General features: G+C 39.4%; 1 protein-coding gene and 1 pseudogene across 14 annotated transcripts in view, besides 1 other annotated feature; one reads left to right on the top strand and one right to left on the bottom strand.

Annotated features, from left to right (window-relative positions):
- Positions 1-16900, bottom strand: part of PIP5K1B (phosphatidylinositol-4-phosphate 5-kinase type 1 beta) — a 303937-nt gene that overhangs the window by 63607 nt on the left and 223430 nt on the right. For all 14 annotated transcript variants that reach the window (XM_017015189.2, XM_047423951.1, NM_003558.4 and 11 more), the window contains 2 exons: positions 10525-10680; positions 4780-4924 (listed from right to left, as the gene is read on the bottom strand). In XM_017015189.2, the coding sequence (XP_016870678.1) occupies positions 4780-4924; positions 10525-10680 (301 nt within the window). The remainder of the gene's footprint in view (positions 1-4779; positions 4925-10524; positions 10681-16900) is intronic.
- On the top strand, positions 9593-9696 carry RNU6-820P (RNA, U6 small nuclear 820, pseudogene; annotated as a pseudogene).
- Positions 12340-13539: an enhancer, noted in NCBI's record as "MED14-independent group 3 enhancer chr9:71546947-71548146 (GRCh37/hg19 assembly coordinates)". NCBI's record gives its function as "activates an origin of replication core promoter dependent on BRD2, BRD4, P300/CBP and CDK7 cofactors, and independent of MED14, by STARR-seq in HCT116 cells {active_cell/tissue: HCT116}" and the evidence as "EXISTENCE:reporter gene assay evidence [ECO:0000049][PMID:35650434]".

Genomic DNA, 16900 nt, shown 5'->3' with positions numbered 1-16900 from the left:
GTGGTTTGAAGTAGGACTAATATTATGATAGAAAAGTTGCCTTTGCAATGCTGTTTTTAATAAGCAAAATTCACCAATAGCTGGTAGAACAAATACTATAGGTAGACATTAACGTAAGCCCATTGGCTGGGTGCGGTGGCTCACACCTGTAATCCCTGCACTTTGGGAGGCTGAGCAGGGTGGATCACTTGAGGTCAGGAGTTCGAGACCAGCCTGGCCAACATGGTGAAACTCCGCCTCTACTAAAAATACAATAACTAGCCAGGAGTGGTGGCGGGTGCCTGTAATCCCAGCTACTCAGGAGGCTGTGGCAGGGGAATCACTTGTACCCTGGAGGCGGAGCTTACAGTGAGCTGAGATGGCACCACTGCACTCCAGCCTGGGCCACAGCGCGAGACTCTCTCAAAAAAACCCAAAAAACCAAAACCCAAAAACCAAAACATAAGCCCACAACTTTGCCTGCTAGAAATATTTTAGTTATTAAGCAGCAAAAAAAAAAAAAAGGTCTCAAACACAGGACCAGAACTCATGTTAGGAAAAAAACCAACCAACCAACCTTGTATGTTTTTGGAGGCTATGATGCAGGAGTGGTACAGTGGAAAAGACAAGAGGCTTAGACCCTAGAGACCTGTGTTCAACTGAAGTCCTACTAACACGCTCGGATATACCATGTAAGGTTTCTGCATTTCCATTTTCTGATATTTTAGACAAATCTAAAGAAAGATCTCTAACCACTGGGATGGCTCTACTTGCATGTCTATAAACCTTAGTGGTAAGCAATTTGTGGGGAAGGGCTTCTGGTTAGAGTGTTTCCACCCCTGTTCTAGGTTTATGACACTGTAATGGCAGGAAGAAGAGGGCACAAGACTGTTAGATCTGATGGATTAGCCTCTGAGATCTAGAATGTTGGACTCATCATTTAGGGAGCCTTTGCCAATTTTCCCTCTACGTGTAAATGACCAGTGGCTTTTTCTCTGACATTTTTGCCCTTCTCACAATACTGCAAATGTCTGCAGGGTGAGCCCAACTGTTAGAAATAGCCACCAACCAAACCTGAGACTGGATAGAGTGGTGACACTGGTAAGACATCTTTGATGGGGAAAGCATAGGTGCACTGGAATGAAGTGTGACTTTCAATTCCTTATGCATAACCAGAGCTTTGGCTTTGCTACCAACTACGCAGGAAATCATGAAAATATTCATAAGTGTAACCTATTTCTACAACATTAAATGAAATTGTTCTTAACTTTGAGGTAAAACACATTTGCCTCTATATTTCTTAGTGCTCAATTTATACCTCTTTTTAAAAGAACAGACTTCTTACTAGTAAATAAAAATGCAAGTATCAAAAATTCAGAACTTAAATGTTGCTAGTTAACTAGGAAGCAATGCCCATGACAGTTTCTCTTTATTCCTATGATCTGCATGCTCTAACACAAGACTGCACAGTGCAACTTGTGAAAATATGTACTCCCAATCAGTAGGTTAGATACATACTTTTAAGATGATACTATTTTTTTTTCTTTCCTTCCTAGCCAATTTTTGGAGTACATTAAAAAAAGAATGGGTTGCTATCAGAGTTTTTGAAGTTACAAAGAATAATCCTTTAAAAAAAGGAATAATTCTAAGAGACAGCAGTTTCCCACTGCAGTATATAATTTAGGTGTGGAGGCATCCAGGCACTAATCAATACCTTGCCAACTTAAGGATTCTAAAAAGACTGACAGAATGACAACTGCTAGTTGAAGTATTTGCAGCTTATTTTAGCACAGATACATATAACATAATGTCAAAATCGGAAAACAGACCACTTTGCCTGAACAGAAAAATGATTCATAAAGAGAAAAATCTCACATGTAAATTATAACATCAATATTCAACATATTTTCTTTTTCTTTCTTTTTTTTTTCTTTTCAATGCATTTTCTTTCCAGGCTCTCTGGATTAGGTTTTGAAACTCAGTTGGCCAGATGAGATTTAGAGTAGTGTCTATTTATTGCCACATAGGACTAGGTGGGCTCTAAAGGAAAAAATGATAGAAACAAAAATATGACAATTTTTTCTTTTGTTTTGGTTTGTTGGTGAAGTTTGCCAGTTGAATAATGAGGGTTGGGCACAGTGGGTCAGGGAAATAGGGATATTGACTCCTGGGAGTTCTCAAACTGTTGTCTTTAAGATTTTTTTAGCACCTTCATGCCTCTTTTCCTTATGATTTCCCTAAGTCTGTGATTAAGACCCGAGGCCCTTCTGTCAGCTTCTTGTACACATCAAGGCTAAAAGCAGACATACCTACAGGAGCAGGCAGGTGACAGCACAGATGAATGAGGAAGAGGGTGGTCACCTGGGGTGGTCTCAGGTTTTCCCCTCCAGCTGATAAATGCCAGGAGGAAACAGAGCCAAAATTATATGGTGACGAAGACACTGATATTGCAAAAGAATCTGGGTATTTTAGCGAAGTTGTTTGGTTTTTAAAGGGTGGCTCATTGAAACAACATTCTAGGCTCACTGAAATGCGTTTGTCTGGGTTGCATCTCATTGGCAGGCACCAACTTGACTGTGGGTCCTGCTACAGTGCTGCTGGTGGCTCAGTTTGGTGGCATGTTCCAGGATGGATTTCCTGGTGCCAGCCTGGAGCCCATGCCCACTGCCTTTCCACAGACTTTGTAGGCACCCAATTCCCTAGATTAAATTCCTTTCTGGTTAAGATTAAGTGGTTTCTTGTTCTTGCAAGTGAACCTTGATTGATAGTGAAATATAAGATATCAAATTGCATTTTGGAGATACAGTGCCAAAGAAGATTAAAACAATGCACTTGTTTTAAATAAATATTTAAAAGAAAGGAAAAATATCATAGATAACTTTTTATTTTCCCCCTCCAAATCTATATGCTAGTCAGTATCGGTGTAAATAAAAGCATCAAGAATGACAGCACAGCTCTGGGAGCATGCGGAGGTGGAACATGCAGAGGTAGCTTCCAGGATGGCCAGGAACGATTGGGAGTCAGGAGGAGGCCCTGCCAGGCCCCGGGAAAACCTTATGAATACCCAAGAGTCTAACACCCCTGGTCAAGAGACTGGATACTTACCACCACCACCACCACCACCACCACTGCTACCAAAACACAAAACAAAACAAAACCCTTTTATTGTTGGCTGAAAATCTCACGAAATGATTGAAGAGCACATCCGATTATATGCCCCAATAATTATCATGACAGCAAACGGTAAGAAATCACCATGGCTTCACATGAGAATTGTTTTTGACCTTGCTAAGAACTTCCTGCAACCTTCCAGCTATCTTTTGAGCTGCTATTTATATTTGAGAGCAAAAGAACTTTATATAGACCCATGTGTTCAGCTGCACCAAACAGACAGGAAAGGCCGTTGCTTGACTAATTTACATACCAGGTTTAAACATTTGACATTACTACTAAGTATTACACATTAATTTAAGTCATTTTAAATTTCTCCAATCCAAGGAAACTGACCAAATCAAATAACTTTGTATAGTTTAGATGAGTTAAATAATTTTTAATAGAGCCTTATTTGTTGGCCCTTAGAGCAGAACAGTGCAAACTCAGGCCCAGCTAAGATTTGCGGCTCACCTTGCTACCCACTTGATCTACTTTTCTGGACCTAGACTGGCCGCCTAACCTCCTGCCTACCTAATCTTGTATCTAGCTGAGGGAGGAGGAAACAGCAACAAAAAAGAATTCCTATAGCAGGTCCGACTAGCAAACTTTAACTTACCAAAAGACTAAGCTAGACTCTATGGATATCCATATATTAAAAATAAATCTACCTTATTGATTCCTCTTCCTGGAAATCAACTGAACTGCTAGCCTGGAGATGGAAAATGACTTAAAGCGTAAGGAATTCTTCACCTGCATAAATCTGATCTTGATTATTGAGAGCTAGGTTTCAACAAGAACTAGTCTAACATTTAACAGATAATTGTTATTTTACTTATTTTTTAAAATTTGTTTCTATTTTTATAACACTTCATAGAACTTATAAAACAGTGCTTATATAAAAATTCACACAAAGTTGCTAGAGAGCATACAATTTCCAAAAATCTTATAGGTTACATGAGATATTTTGATTACAGGCATGCAATGAATAATAATCATATCAGGGCAAATGGAGTATCCTGCCTTCTGCTTCTGATGTTGTGTCTCCTTCTCTGATTCTCACCTTTCTTCTGTCTTCCCCTTACAAGAACCCTGTGATTATATTGGGCCTATCTGGATAATTCAGGATAATCATCCCATTTCAGGATCTTTAATTTAATCCCATTTGTAAAGTCCCTTTTGCCATATAAGGTAACATATTCACAGGTTACAGGAATTAGGATGTGGATAGCTTTGGGGGAGCAATTATTCTGTTTACCATAGTCACTAAGATCACACATACCAAAAGAGAATATTACAATATCTTTGCAGCTACCTGTGTAATATTAACTAAGAGTGCTCACTCTGAAGAAACCCATTCCTAAAAAATTTACTAAAATAAAAATGATGAAAGATTTGTCTTCTTCCATTGAGCCAAGTATATAATTTCTACATGACATAATGATCAACTGTAAAGAAAAATCATGAGGGTTTTCCCTCCAATGTTCTTTTGCCACAGTAAAAATCAAGCATGTTCTCTCTCCGACCTATGAGGCAGATGACAGGCACATCCTGGTTGTTAGAGACGTGTCCTCATTCAGAGATACTGGTTCAGGCCTGATGTTGATGTGGTAACAGCCTGATGGGTTATTTGACTGCACTAAGTATTACCTGTTTGAATAGAGTGTAGGCCTGTCGTGTGGATAGTGCTCATTGACGTATAAGGAAGAAGATGAAATTGTGGTTGCCAAGGAAGCAGCTTCAAACAGTGATGGAGTGCTAGGGACCAGGTCTGGCCTGTGTCGGGATCCCAGGGCTAGGAACGAAAGCAACACACACATTCATGAATCTCAAGGATAAATGCAGCTTTAGTATCTATAATAATTGAAATGAGTCAAAAGCATTCATTTTACCTATCAGGCTGCAAATTCAATTATGAATTAACTGCACTTTTTTTTTCTGAATTACAGCAGAAATGTAAAATAGCTTCTTGCAAACAGGTTAAACAGGAAGGAAATTGCATTAATTTACAAAATGGCTCATGGAAATGACATTATGAATGTTCTTTTAAAAACCTAATAAAGTGATTTACTATTTCAAAAAGATGGCATAAAAAAACTCATAGGAGTTAAAGCAGACAATTTGGCAGAGATTAAAAGGATGACTGGCAAGTGTATAAACAGACAGTGAACCTTTTTGCCCTCCCTGTGATATGCACATATCTATGATTCTCAGGTTGGATCTAAGAACCCAGGCTTTTCAAGAGCTGGGAAACAAATACTTCAACAGACTAACAGTCAGCTCTACCTTAACCCCATCTGAGCCCATAAATACTTTTAAACATTATCCAGGACTCTTATTGACATATTTTAACAGCAAAGCTGCCTTTTTTAAAAATGAGAAAACACTTATTTTTTCTTTAAAACTTAGGGGCCCATGAAATTACTTATGCGAGAGCCCATCCTTGTGAGGAAAGAGGAATGTTCAAGGCTGGGCAGTAACCCCTGCCCATCTCTCTGGAGTCTATGTGGATTCTTTCCATCACTCCCCCAAGACTGACCTAAAATAGATGCTAATAAATACAATTATAACTTTAAGGTATTCCTGGTATTCCTTTATAGGCACAACAAATTCAAAATTAGAGATTTTTAGTGTGTAAATATAAACCGACCCTAACAGGGATTCTCGTATGAGTGTGAGGTTTTGGATTTTGGATGTGAAGGGTATAGATGGTGGGGTAGGAAGCAACATGGAGGGAAGCCAGGCAAGCACAGGAAAGGCTGGACTCTAGTCTGGGAAATCAGACGACACACTGGGGTGGTGGAGCTCTGCCTCCAATTCAAGTCAAAATAGAAAACTGCAGCGATGGATAAAAGATGATCGTCATATAAAACCATGAATAACCAAAGTGCTCAACCTTCAAAAATTAGAAAGGCTTCAACTTTAATGTGACACCTGGCTTGCAATCTTCAATATTCTTGATCCCAACTTCTCATTAAATGGAAAGAAAAACATGAAAACTCTCCATAACATTGAAAACTGGGTGTCAAAAATAACCTGATATCAGATTCCAATGAATTGCCACTCCTTATAAGGTAGGTGGAGCTGGTCTTCGACCTAGGTTTTGGGCATACCAGCTTTACTTCACAAAGTAGACATGGCCTGAGTGACAGAGCAAAACACATCTGTCCAGTGACTCAGTCTCAGGTCACACATCATTGGGAAGGTGACCCCTCAACCCATGAGGAGCAGTTCTTTGAGGGAGAGAAGTGTTTCCTCATGCTCCCATATGCTTTTTTCTAAAGCCAGTGTCGTAGGTAGAACTCTAAGATGACCCGTAATGACCCACACTCTTGTAAATTCTCCCTTTGTTGTGGGGCCTGCAGACATGATGAGCTGTTATTCCTGTGGCTATGTGATGTGACCTAGCAAAAGGGATTTTGCAGATGTAACTCAGGTTGCCCTGAGTTGGCTAACACTGAGTTAGTCAAAGGGAAGATTATTCAGGGGAGCCTCACCTAATTGTACGAGCCCTTTAAATCTGGGTCTAGAGGTCAGAGACAAGAAGTCAGAGAGACAAAGTGTTTGGGGCTGACTTGTAGGACATTCTGTGTTTGAAGACAGAGGGGCAGCATGGTAGGGAATGTGGATGGACCCCAGGGCTAAACATGGCTCTTGGCTGTCAGACAGCAAAGAAGCAGGGATCTCCACCCAACAGCTACAAGGAGCTGAATTCTGCCGACAACATGAATGAGCTTGGAAGAGGATTCGTCTTCAGCACTTCCTGATAAGAACTCAGCCCAGCTCAAAACAACCAGCTAGCATCATAATGACGGGATGAAATTCACACATAACAATATTAACCTTAAATATAAATGGGCTAAATGCCCCAATTAAAAGACAGACTGGCAAATTGGATAGAGTCAAGATCCATCAATGTGCTGTATTCAGGAGACCCATCTCATGTGCAGACTCACATAGGCTCAAAATAAAGGGATGGAGGAATATTTACCAAGCAAATGGAAAAAAAAAATGGCAGGAGTTGCAATCCTAATCTCTGATAAAACAGACTTTAAACCAACAAAGATCAAAAGAGACAAATAAGGCCATTACATAGTGGTAAAGGGATCAATGCAGCAAGAAGAGCTAACTATTCTAAATATACATGCACCCAATACAGGAGAACCCAGATTCATAAAGCAAGTTCTGAGAGACCTACAAAGAGACTTAGACTCCCACACAATAATAGCAGGAGACTTTAGCACCCCACTGTCAATATTAGACAGATCAACGAGACAGAAAATTAACAAGGATATTCAGGACTTGAACTCAGCTCTGGACCAAGCGGACCTAATAGACAGCTACAGTACTCTCTACCCCAAATCAACAGAATATACATTCTTCTCAGCACCTCATTGCACTTATTCTAAAATTGATCACATAATTGGAAGTAAAACACTCCTCAGCAAATGCAAAAGACCGGAAATCATAACAGTCTCTCAGACTACAGTGCAATCAAATTAGAACTCAGGATTAAGAAACTCACTCAAAACTGCACAACTACATGGAAACTGAACAACCTGCTCCTGAATGACTACCGGGTAAATAACAAAATGAAGGCAGAAATAAAGATGTTCTTTGAAACCATGAGAATGAAGACAACGTACCAGAGTCTCTGGGACACATGTAAAGCAGTGTGTAGAGGGAAATTTATAGCACTAAATGCCCACAAGAGAAAGCAGGAAAGACCTGAAATTGACACCATAACATCAAAATTACAAGAACTAGAGAAGCAACAGCAAACAAATTCAAAATCTAGCGGAAGACAAGAAATAACTAAGATCAGAGCAGAACTGAAGGAGATAGATACACAAAAAACCCTTCAAAAAAATCAATGCATCCAGGAGCTGGTTTTTTGAAAAGATCAACAAAATAGATAGACCTCTAGCCAGACTAATAAAGAAGAAAAGAGAGAAGAATCAAATGGATGCAATAAAAAATGATATAGGGGATATCACCACTGATCCCACAGAAATACAAACTACCATCAGAGAATACTATGAACATTTCTGTGCAAATACACTAGAAAATCTAGAAGGAAGGGATAAATTCTTTGGACCCTCCCAAGTCTAAACCAGGAAGAAGTCGAATCCCTGAATAAACCAACAACAAGTTCTGAAATTGAGGCAGTAATTAATAGGCTACCAACCAGAAAAAGTCCAGGACCAGACAGATTCACAGCTGAATTCTACCAGAGGTACAAAGAAGAGCTGATACCATTTCTTCTGAAACTATTCCAAACAATAGAAAAAGGGGGAATCCTCCCTAACTCATTTTATGAGGCCAGCATCACCCTGATACCAAAATCTGGCAGAGACACAGCAAAAAAAGAAAATTTCAGGCCAATATCTCTGATGAACATTGATGCCAAAATCCTCAATGAAATACTGGCAAACCGAATCTAGCGGCACATCAAAAAGCTTATCCACCATGATCAAGTCGGCTTCATCCCTGGGATGCAAGGCTGGTTCAACATATGCAAATCAATAAACTAATATAATTTTAAAATAAGTTTATCCTATTTCCCAGACTACAGGCACCTGCAGTTTTGCATGTGCTATCAGAAAATCAGGTAGTATAGTGTGGGAGATGCCAGTGCAGGGGAGCTTAGGAGAAAGGGATGAATGTCTGCTAGGAATTGGAGACACCAATTCGGAGAGGATCAAGGGCACCTCTGTAACTCTCTTGCTGAAATCATTAACTCCAGGTAAAAGTTGGTTTATGGGAAGATGAGAAAGAAAGAAACCAAACAGCACATATGGATAAGTGCTGCTGAAGAAGGAATAGAAATAACACCACATCTTAAAGACTCTGAGGAAAAGAAAACCCCTAGAAGAGGTCTTAACTTCTGTAGAAAGTAGAAGACATTTTCAGGAAATGCTGAGATTCTCCAAAGAATATACTAATAGAAAAATCTAAAATGTCATTCTCCCATATTTGATTAGAAGGGAAAAAACAAATGATTAACTTGGCAGATAAAGTATTTGATAAAATTCAGTACTCCTTCCTGATTAATTAAAAAAAAAACTTTTAGCAAAGTAGGAATAAAAAAAGGAACTTCCTTGACTTGATTATGGGTATCAAATACAGCAAACTTCTTTTTCAACAGTGAAACATTAGAAGTACTCCCTTTAAAATCAGGACAAAGCAAGGCTGTCTACAATCACCACTTCTATTTATCATTGTACAAGAAGTCCTAACCAGCAAGTTAAGAAAGAAAAAAAGACAAAAAGGGTGTGAAGTCTATGCAATAGCAACAAATGGCCAGAAAACTCAATTCTTAAAAAAGATACTGTTTTTAAAAATCCAGAAAAAAATCTATATCAATATCTCTGCATTTATCCAAGAAATAAATCTAACAAAAGGTATATGTACAAGCCACACAAGAAAAATATTATAAAACTTTATTGAAATTCATTAAAGCGCTCACTTTGGCAGCACATATACTAAAATTGGAACGATACAGAGAAGATTAGCATGGCCCCTGTGCAAGGATGACATGCAAATTTGTGAAACGTTCCATATTTTTCCTTTCTGCCTCTTTTCTTTCCTTCTCTTGGTACCTGCTCATGGTTATGAAGCTTTCAAAGTAAAGAACGTGTAGTACCTCCTGAGTATTACCAGTGGGTACCAAAAAATAAATCATTAAAGAAGACCTAAATGAAGAGACAACTTATTGTTACATTGAGTGTATGTGTGTGTATGTGTACTCGTGCATATGTGTATGTGTACATGTACAGAATAAGGTCTAGAAGTAAAAGCAACAAAATGTTAGTATTTGTTACCATCAGGTAGTGGAAGCAGACATTTTTCTTTTTGAATTAGTATTGTCTAATTTTTATCGTAAACCATAAATTGTATTTTTTATGTGGTAGTTAAAATGTGCATGAACTGCATCTTACTGTAGCTATCCTATTTATTTATTTATTTATTTGGGACAGAGTCTTGCTCTGTTGCCCAGGCTGGAATGCAATGGTGCAATCTCAGCTCATTGCAGCCTCCGCCTCCTGGGTTCAAGTGATTCTCATGCCTCAGCTTCCCAAGTAGCTGGGATTACAGGCGCCCGCTATCACGCCTGACTAATTTTTTGTATTTTCAGTAGAGACAGGGTTTCGCCATGTTGGCCAGGCTGGTTTCGAACTCCTGACCTCAAGTGATCCACCCACCTAGGCCTCCCAAAGTGTAAGGATTACAGGCATGAGCCACTGCGCCCGGCCACTGCAGCTATCCTTTAAAAACTTAATTAATATATTTTATTTCTTAGAGCAGGTATTTTTAAATTTTTCTTCTGCAAATTTACTTGTATAAATAAATCACAAGAACGTTTGTCTTTTTAAAAAAGTTACATATCTTTACCTTCTTCATCAAGGCTGCTAAAACTTTGTCCTTCAGTCAGCAAATCCCGCTTCTCATCCTTCCATTCCTGGCTAATTGAGGACACAATCTCCTGTGAAGTGGCCTTTAGGGCGGCGATTGAATTGCACCGTTTCTTAGACGGTGAAGCCTTCAAAGCTAGACAGAAAGGAAAAGGACAAATACAGATATTTACTGTAAAATCACATTACTATTTTATTTAAAAGTGAATATTTTATTATTTATTAACATTTTAGTTATTATTTGAATAGAAGACAAGACGCTTATTTTATATATATGGAAAGGGAGATGAACTTGTTTCATCTGATGAATACGATGAATTGGCTATATTATTTGTCCAAAATGACTTGACTTAAATCAGAATTTCCTAGAGCAAATTAAAAGTTAAAATTTCTCTCCAGATTTTGCAATAAAGTCTTACTTGAGGTAAAATTCAAATGTTTTATTGCTAAAGAATCATTCCCCCCTCTCCAAACAATGTTTTTCTAGTGCTGGGAGGAGGATGGGTGAGTTGATAAGCACAGATGGTAAAGTATAGAGAATTCTCACGACCCTGGTTTTATTAACTTGGGACTGGGAATTTCTAAACATGCCAATGTTTAATCTTCTACTCATGTTGCCCAATTTAGCCAAGTTACTTCTGGTTGCTTTTTTCTTTCTGTGACTTTCCACTGACATTTCCTACCCTTTAGCTCTTTTCTAGGTCATGGTTTTATGTCAGACGTATAATTCACTTCCAATCTTTGTCTAAACAGCAGTCTACAACTTCAGAAGTGTGTTGGGAACCTGAACTAATGAAAATGTACTTCACCATCAATCATGCTTGCTGAAGCCTGGGACTTCATGGAGGACACGTCCATGGAAGCTGCTTAAGCGGCAGCAAGGCCATCCTTATTTACATTCACTATTTGCTGCAATAATTCTTCTTGGCTTAATATTGCTTGAGAATTTCCTTGGAGGGAGGGGGAGAGGGAAGTTGAGGCCTCTTTATGTTTTCCCCTGAATATGTTTTTGGCAGTGTCTCTCTTCCTTTAGAAGTTTGCATAAAGGGGTAGCCTGATAGTAAGTGTATTAGAGTAATTGTGTTTAGCCTTGGGAATCTCAGAGCTTAGATTACACAGCTCATCTGGGGCCTTCCCAGAGGCTGCTTGCAAGAACTTAATTGGAGAAGGACTTTGGGACACACAAATGAGAGAAGAATGGAGGACAATCTCTCCACTTAAAGAGAAGGGAAGGTTTATTTGTCCCTCGAGCAGTCTTAGAATCATAATAATATCATCATCCTAATAAATAACATTTGTGGAGGGCTTTAGAGTCTGGAATCCAACATTCACATTGCATATCTCAAACCATCCACATGTATGAGGAAGAGGAAGGCCCTTTTTTAGGCCCAGAAACTGAGAATAGAAAGATTGTGGCTTGCTCAGGGTCACAGAACTAGCAAGCATGAATTTCAGGTGTCTTTCTTTTCTTAAGTTGCTTTCTAGGTGGTTCATTTTCTAGTTCTTTAGCATTCTGTTTTCTGGTTAAACTGAGGGGAGAAAAAGATAAACCTTGAATTTGTTTTTCTTTGAGGGGAAGAAATTTTTGAATGTTTAAAAAATAAGTTATGTTTACCTTAATTCTCCACTCTCTCAAACAGTGGTTACACTTGTTTTACAAGGAAGAAGCCATTATTGTCACACTGGCCTCTGCCTTAACATTCTATCTGCTAACTTTTATTTATTTTATTTTATTTTATTTTTCTTTAAGTTCTGGGATACATGTGCTGAACATGCAGGTTTGTTACATAGGTATACATGTGCCAAGGTGGTTTGCTACACCTATCAACCTATCATCTCTATCTGCTAACTTTTATAGACCTTCAATAAACTCCTGTCTTTCAATATAGTATTTTAAAACTGCTTCTTCTTCTTTTTTTTTTTTTTGAGACGGAGTTTTGCTCTTGTTGCCCAGGCTGGAGAGAATGGCGCAATCTCGGCTCACTGCAACCTCCGCCTCCCAGGTTCAAGCAATTCTCCTGCCTCAGCTTCCTGAGTAGCTGGGATTACAGGCATGCGCCACCATGCCTGGCTAATTTTGTATTTTTAGTAGAGACGGGGTTTCTCCATGTTGGTCAGGCTGGTTTCGAACTCCTGACCTCAGGTGATCTGCCTGCCTTGGCCTCCCAAAGTGCTAGGATTACAGGCATGAGCCACTGTGCCCAGCTGTATTTTAAAACTTCTAAATCAGAGGATCTCAGATGTGGGGTGGAAACTAAGGGGTCTCTGAGACCCTTTCAGAAGATCTGTGATGTTAAAATTATTTTCATCATCATCATAAGACATTATTTGCCTTTTTCACTTTCATTCTCTCATATGTGTAGAGTTTTCTAGATGTTACATGACCTGTGATGTCACCACATATTGAATTCAGAAGCAGATGTGAGACTCCAACTTATCTTCTATTAAGCCAGACGTTAAGGATTTCAAACAAAAAGGTAAAACAATTCCACTTTTCTCACTAAATTATTTGTGGAAAATATAATTATATTTTGTAATTATTTATGTTAAAAATTGACTGATGTTAACACGCAATTTTTTTTGTTAACTGGTAAGAATTAATAAATATTTTTAAATTTTTCTCAATTTTAATTTCTAATATGTGAAATATAGATAGCTATCACCCACATAAATAAAAGCTCTTTGGTGTCCTCAATAATTTTTAAGGGTGTAATGTGGCCCTGAGACCAAAAGGTTTGAGAACTGCTTTTCTACATCATAGTTCTTAGGTCAATGTTATTTCTCTAAACGAAGAAACAGCAATGATCAAAAGGTTTTCGGCAGTACCAAGGAAATGCGATCAGGGTGAGAGCCGTGTAATGAGGAAAAGATACTCAGGAGACCTATACTCATGGCATTTCATGGAGTGAGGGCCAAAAGACTGGAAAAAGAAGTAACTCTTTGTTCTTTATCAGCATCACGTATAATGAGGAGCAGAGAAGACCGGAAAACAAACCTCTGCCAAGACCACATAGCACCACAACAAAGAGTTCACTTTTGTCTCAAGTGGTGAGTTTCTTCCTTAAAGGAATGATCTCACTCAGCAGATAAGAGCTTGGATTTTGCAGAAATTTAATTCTCAGGATCTCTTTTGACTGGGTAACATTGAGAGCTGGTTTGGGTGGCTGGTTGCTTCCTTTTGTGTGGCAGAAACGCCTAGATTTGTCTTTGGCTCAACCATGGCTGGCAGTAGGTATCCTGTGTCCATTTCTAGCCTTGCATTCTGCCACTCGACTGCCTCCATGTTCACTTTTCAGCTCACCCTTCTGCCATATTGGAACCTACCATGTTCATTCTGCCCTTAGGCCTTTGCACATGCTGTTCTTTCTCCTTGAGATGCCCTTCCTGTCTCTCTTCTTAATGAACTCTGGGTTACATTTTCAGGATTTAGTTGAAATATCTTTTTCTCTGTGAGCTCTCTTTTGGAAGAATTGGTCTTTTTTTCTCTTATTTCTCTCCGCGTACCCATAGTAGCATATGCAGAAATATTAGCAATTGTTTCATTACAGATCTGTCACATGTTTCAATCTCCGGCTCAAAAGAGACTATTAAATTATTGAGGGAGGAACTAATCAATATTTAAAAAGCTTTCTATATCATCAGTGCTTAGTGTAGTGCTAGATACATAATAGGTGCACGAGTGTTTGTTCATGAATGCATTATTGTTCTGAAGTTTTAGAACAGTTAATTTTCTCTAACAAATTAATTTAACTCTTATATTCTATTCAGGAAACTAAGCTTTAGTACTTTAGACAAATTATTCGTATGGAGAATTTCAGTGAAGTTTCAACATAATGGTGGCTAATATTTCCAGGAAATATTATAGGATTTTGTAGACATTATTACACCGGCAGCATGACTCACTTGTGGGTGGGATGAAGGGATTTAAAAAGGTTAAAAAACACTGACTTCAAAAAAGAAACTTGAAGACCAGGTACTATTTTCTTGGTGGGAGGGGAGTATGCCTTTAGGCATTAAGGGCTTTAAATTAACCATGGTTGATGGAACATCTTAAAGTTAACTCAAGTGTCTACTTTTCTAATAATTTAATTACCCTTTGAAATGGTGGTGTTAGATAAAAATTCCATTCATTCATTGCATTATTCATCAAATAACCATTGAGTGTCTACTGTGTGCCAGGAAATGTGTTAAGTGAAAGTTAAGGACTTTGGGCACCAGGGAATCCATGGACGTTTATTTCCTTTAGCATTATTATTATTATTATTATTAGCATGGAAGGGTTTTAACAGAAATCAGCAAGAGCAGATTTATATTTTAAACTGATTCCTCTAGCTGCAGTGTGTGTGTGTGGAAATTGGATTGAATGGGTACATGATGGGAGGCAAAGAGACCTGTTTGGGGCCACAACTTTATGCAAAAAAAAAAATAATAATAAAACCTGCAAACCAAAAAACACAGTGGCTGAATCAGGAGAGGTACTGTGAGAGAAGGGGCTGCAATCCTGATACTGCAGAGTGAGGACTGATAGGTGTTGCTGAGTAACTGCACGTGGGTGGTAAGCAGAAGGAAGGGGTCAAGGGATGATGGCAGCATTCTGGCTGGGTAATTGGGTGGATTGTGGTGGTCTTCCATAAGACGTGGACCCAGGTAGAGAGGCAGACTCTGGGGTGGTAAGTGGCTAAATTCAATTTTGGGCATGCTGAGCTTGTGGAATCTAGTGGATGCTTAAGTTTGGGGAGTGGACAGGCAAGGGGAATTGCTAGAAGTGTGGGGAGTAAGTTGCAAGTACACAGATGGTAACTGAACCCTTGGGAGAACAGGGAATTACCCAGAGTGCTGTATAAGAAGAGACCGAGTCAGAGCCTGGACCCTGAGGAGCAACCACAATAAGAGTAAGCAGGGATGAAAAGCTTCCAAAGGATACCAAGGAGGAGAAGAGAGGCTGGAAGGCAACCAGGGAAGTCCTGAGTTACGAAAGACAAGCGAAGAGCGTTATTTCACAGAGAACTGCTATCAGTGGTCTCACATGCTGGAGAGTTTTAAGAAGACTGAAAGAGGCTGGGTGCGGTGGCTCACACCTGTAATCCCAGCACTTTGGGAGGCCAAGGTGGGTGGATCACTTGAGGTCAGGAGTTCAAGACCAGCCTGGCCAACATGGCAAAACCCTGTCTCTACTAAAAATACAAACATTAGCTGGGTGTGGTGGCGCATGCCTGTGGTCCCAGTTACTCTGGAGGCTGAGGCAGGAGAATCACTTGAACCTGGGAGGCAGAGGTTGCAGTGAGCTGAGATAGTGCCACTGTACTCCAGCCTGGGCAACAGAGTGAGACTCCATCTCAAAAAAACAAAAACAAAAACAAAAACAAAAAAAACTGAAAGTTGTTCAATGGCTTGAGCAATGATTGTTGATTACTTCAAAAAGAACATTTTGGTAGAGTGGTGGGATCAAAAGCCACTGGAGAACACTGAATAGTGACAAGAAATAAAAAAAGTGAGACAGCAAGTACATCCAACTCTCATCTCCAATAGGGTGACAGTGAAGGAGGAAAAAGATACACCAGGAACTGAAGAGAGACAGATCGTTGAGGAGGTTTGTTTCTATGATATATGAGAATGAGCAGATAGAAGGATGAGGTGTGGAGCCAGAAGAGGGAGTGAATGGTTAAAATTACCCTGTAGTGGAGATAATCTCTACAGGGATCTGTCCTGGACCTTAAGGAGAAGATCGGACCCAGTATACATGGTATATTCATCCATTCAACAAATAAAAATTACAATATGTGCACCCTCCAAACCCACATGGCTTCATTAAGTGCTGGGGATACAGCAGTCACCTTACTTTTTTTTTTTTTTTTTTTTTTTAGATAGAGTCTTGCTCTGTCACCCAGGCTGGAGTGTAGTGGGGCATAATCTTGGCTCACTGCAACCTCTGCCTCCCAGGTTCAAGTGATTCTCCTGCCTCAGCCTCCCAAGTAGCTGGGATTACAGGCATGTGCCAGCACGTCTGGCTAATTTTTGTATTTTTAGTAGAGAAGGGGTTTCACCACGTTGGTCAGGCTGGTCTCGAACTCCTGACCTCGTGATCCGCCCACCCCGGCCTCCCAAAGTCTTGGGATTATAGGCGTGAGCCACCGTGCCCAGCTAGCTTACATTTAAATAAAGGGGACAGGCATTAAGTAAGTAAAACCTATAGCATAGGACCTAAAGTATAGGTCATTATAGGTCATGATAAATGTTAGAAAACATAAAGCAAGAAAAGTAGATAGGAATCACCTTTCCCACTGTAGCAGGACTATTTTCCACTGTAGCAGCACTATAAACATTATCACTACTACCTACGCAATAAACAAAAGTGA

The sequence above is a fragment of the Homo sapiens genome, chromosome 9 (assembly GCF_000001405.40).
Source record: "Homo sapiens chromosome 9, GRCh38.p14 Primary Assembly".
Classification (NCBI taxonomy): Eukaryota; Metazoa; Chordata; class Mammalia; order Primates; family Hominidae; genus Homo; species Homo sapiens.
Note: the sequence above shows the minus strand (reverse complement) of the source record. Positions and strands in the feature narration are given on the sequence as shown.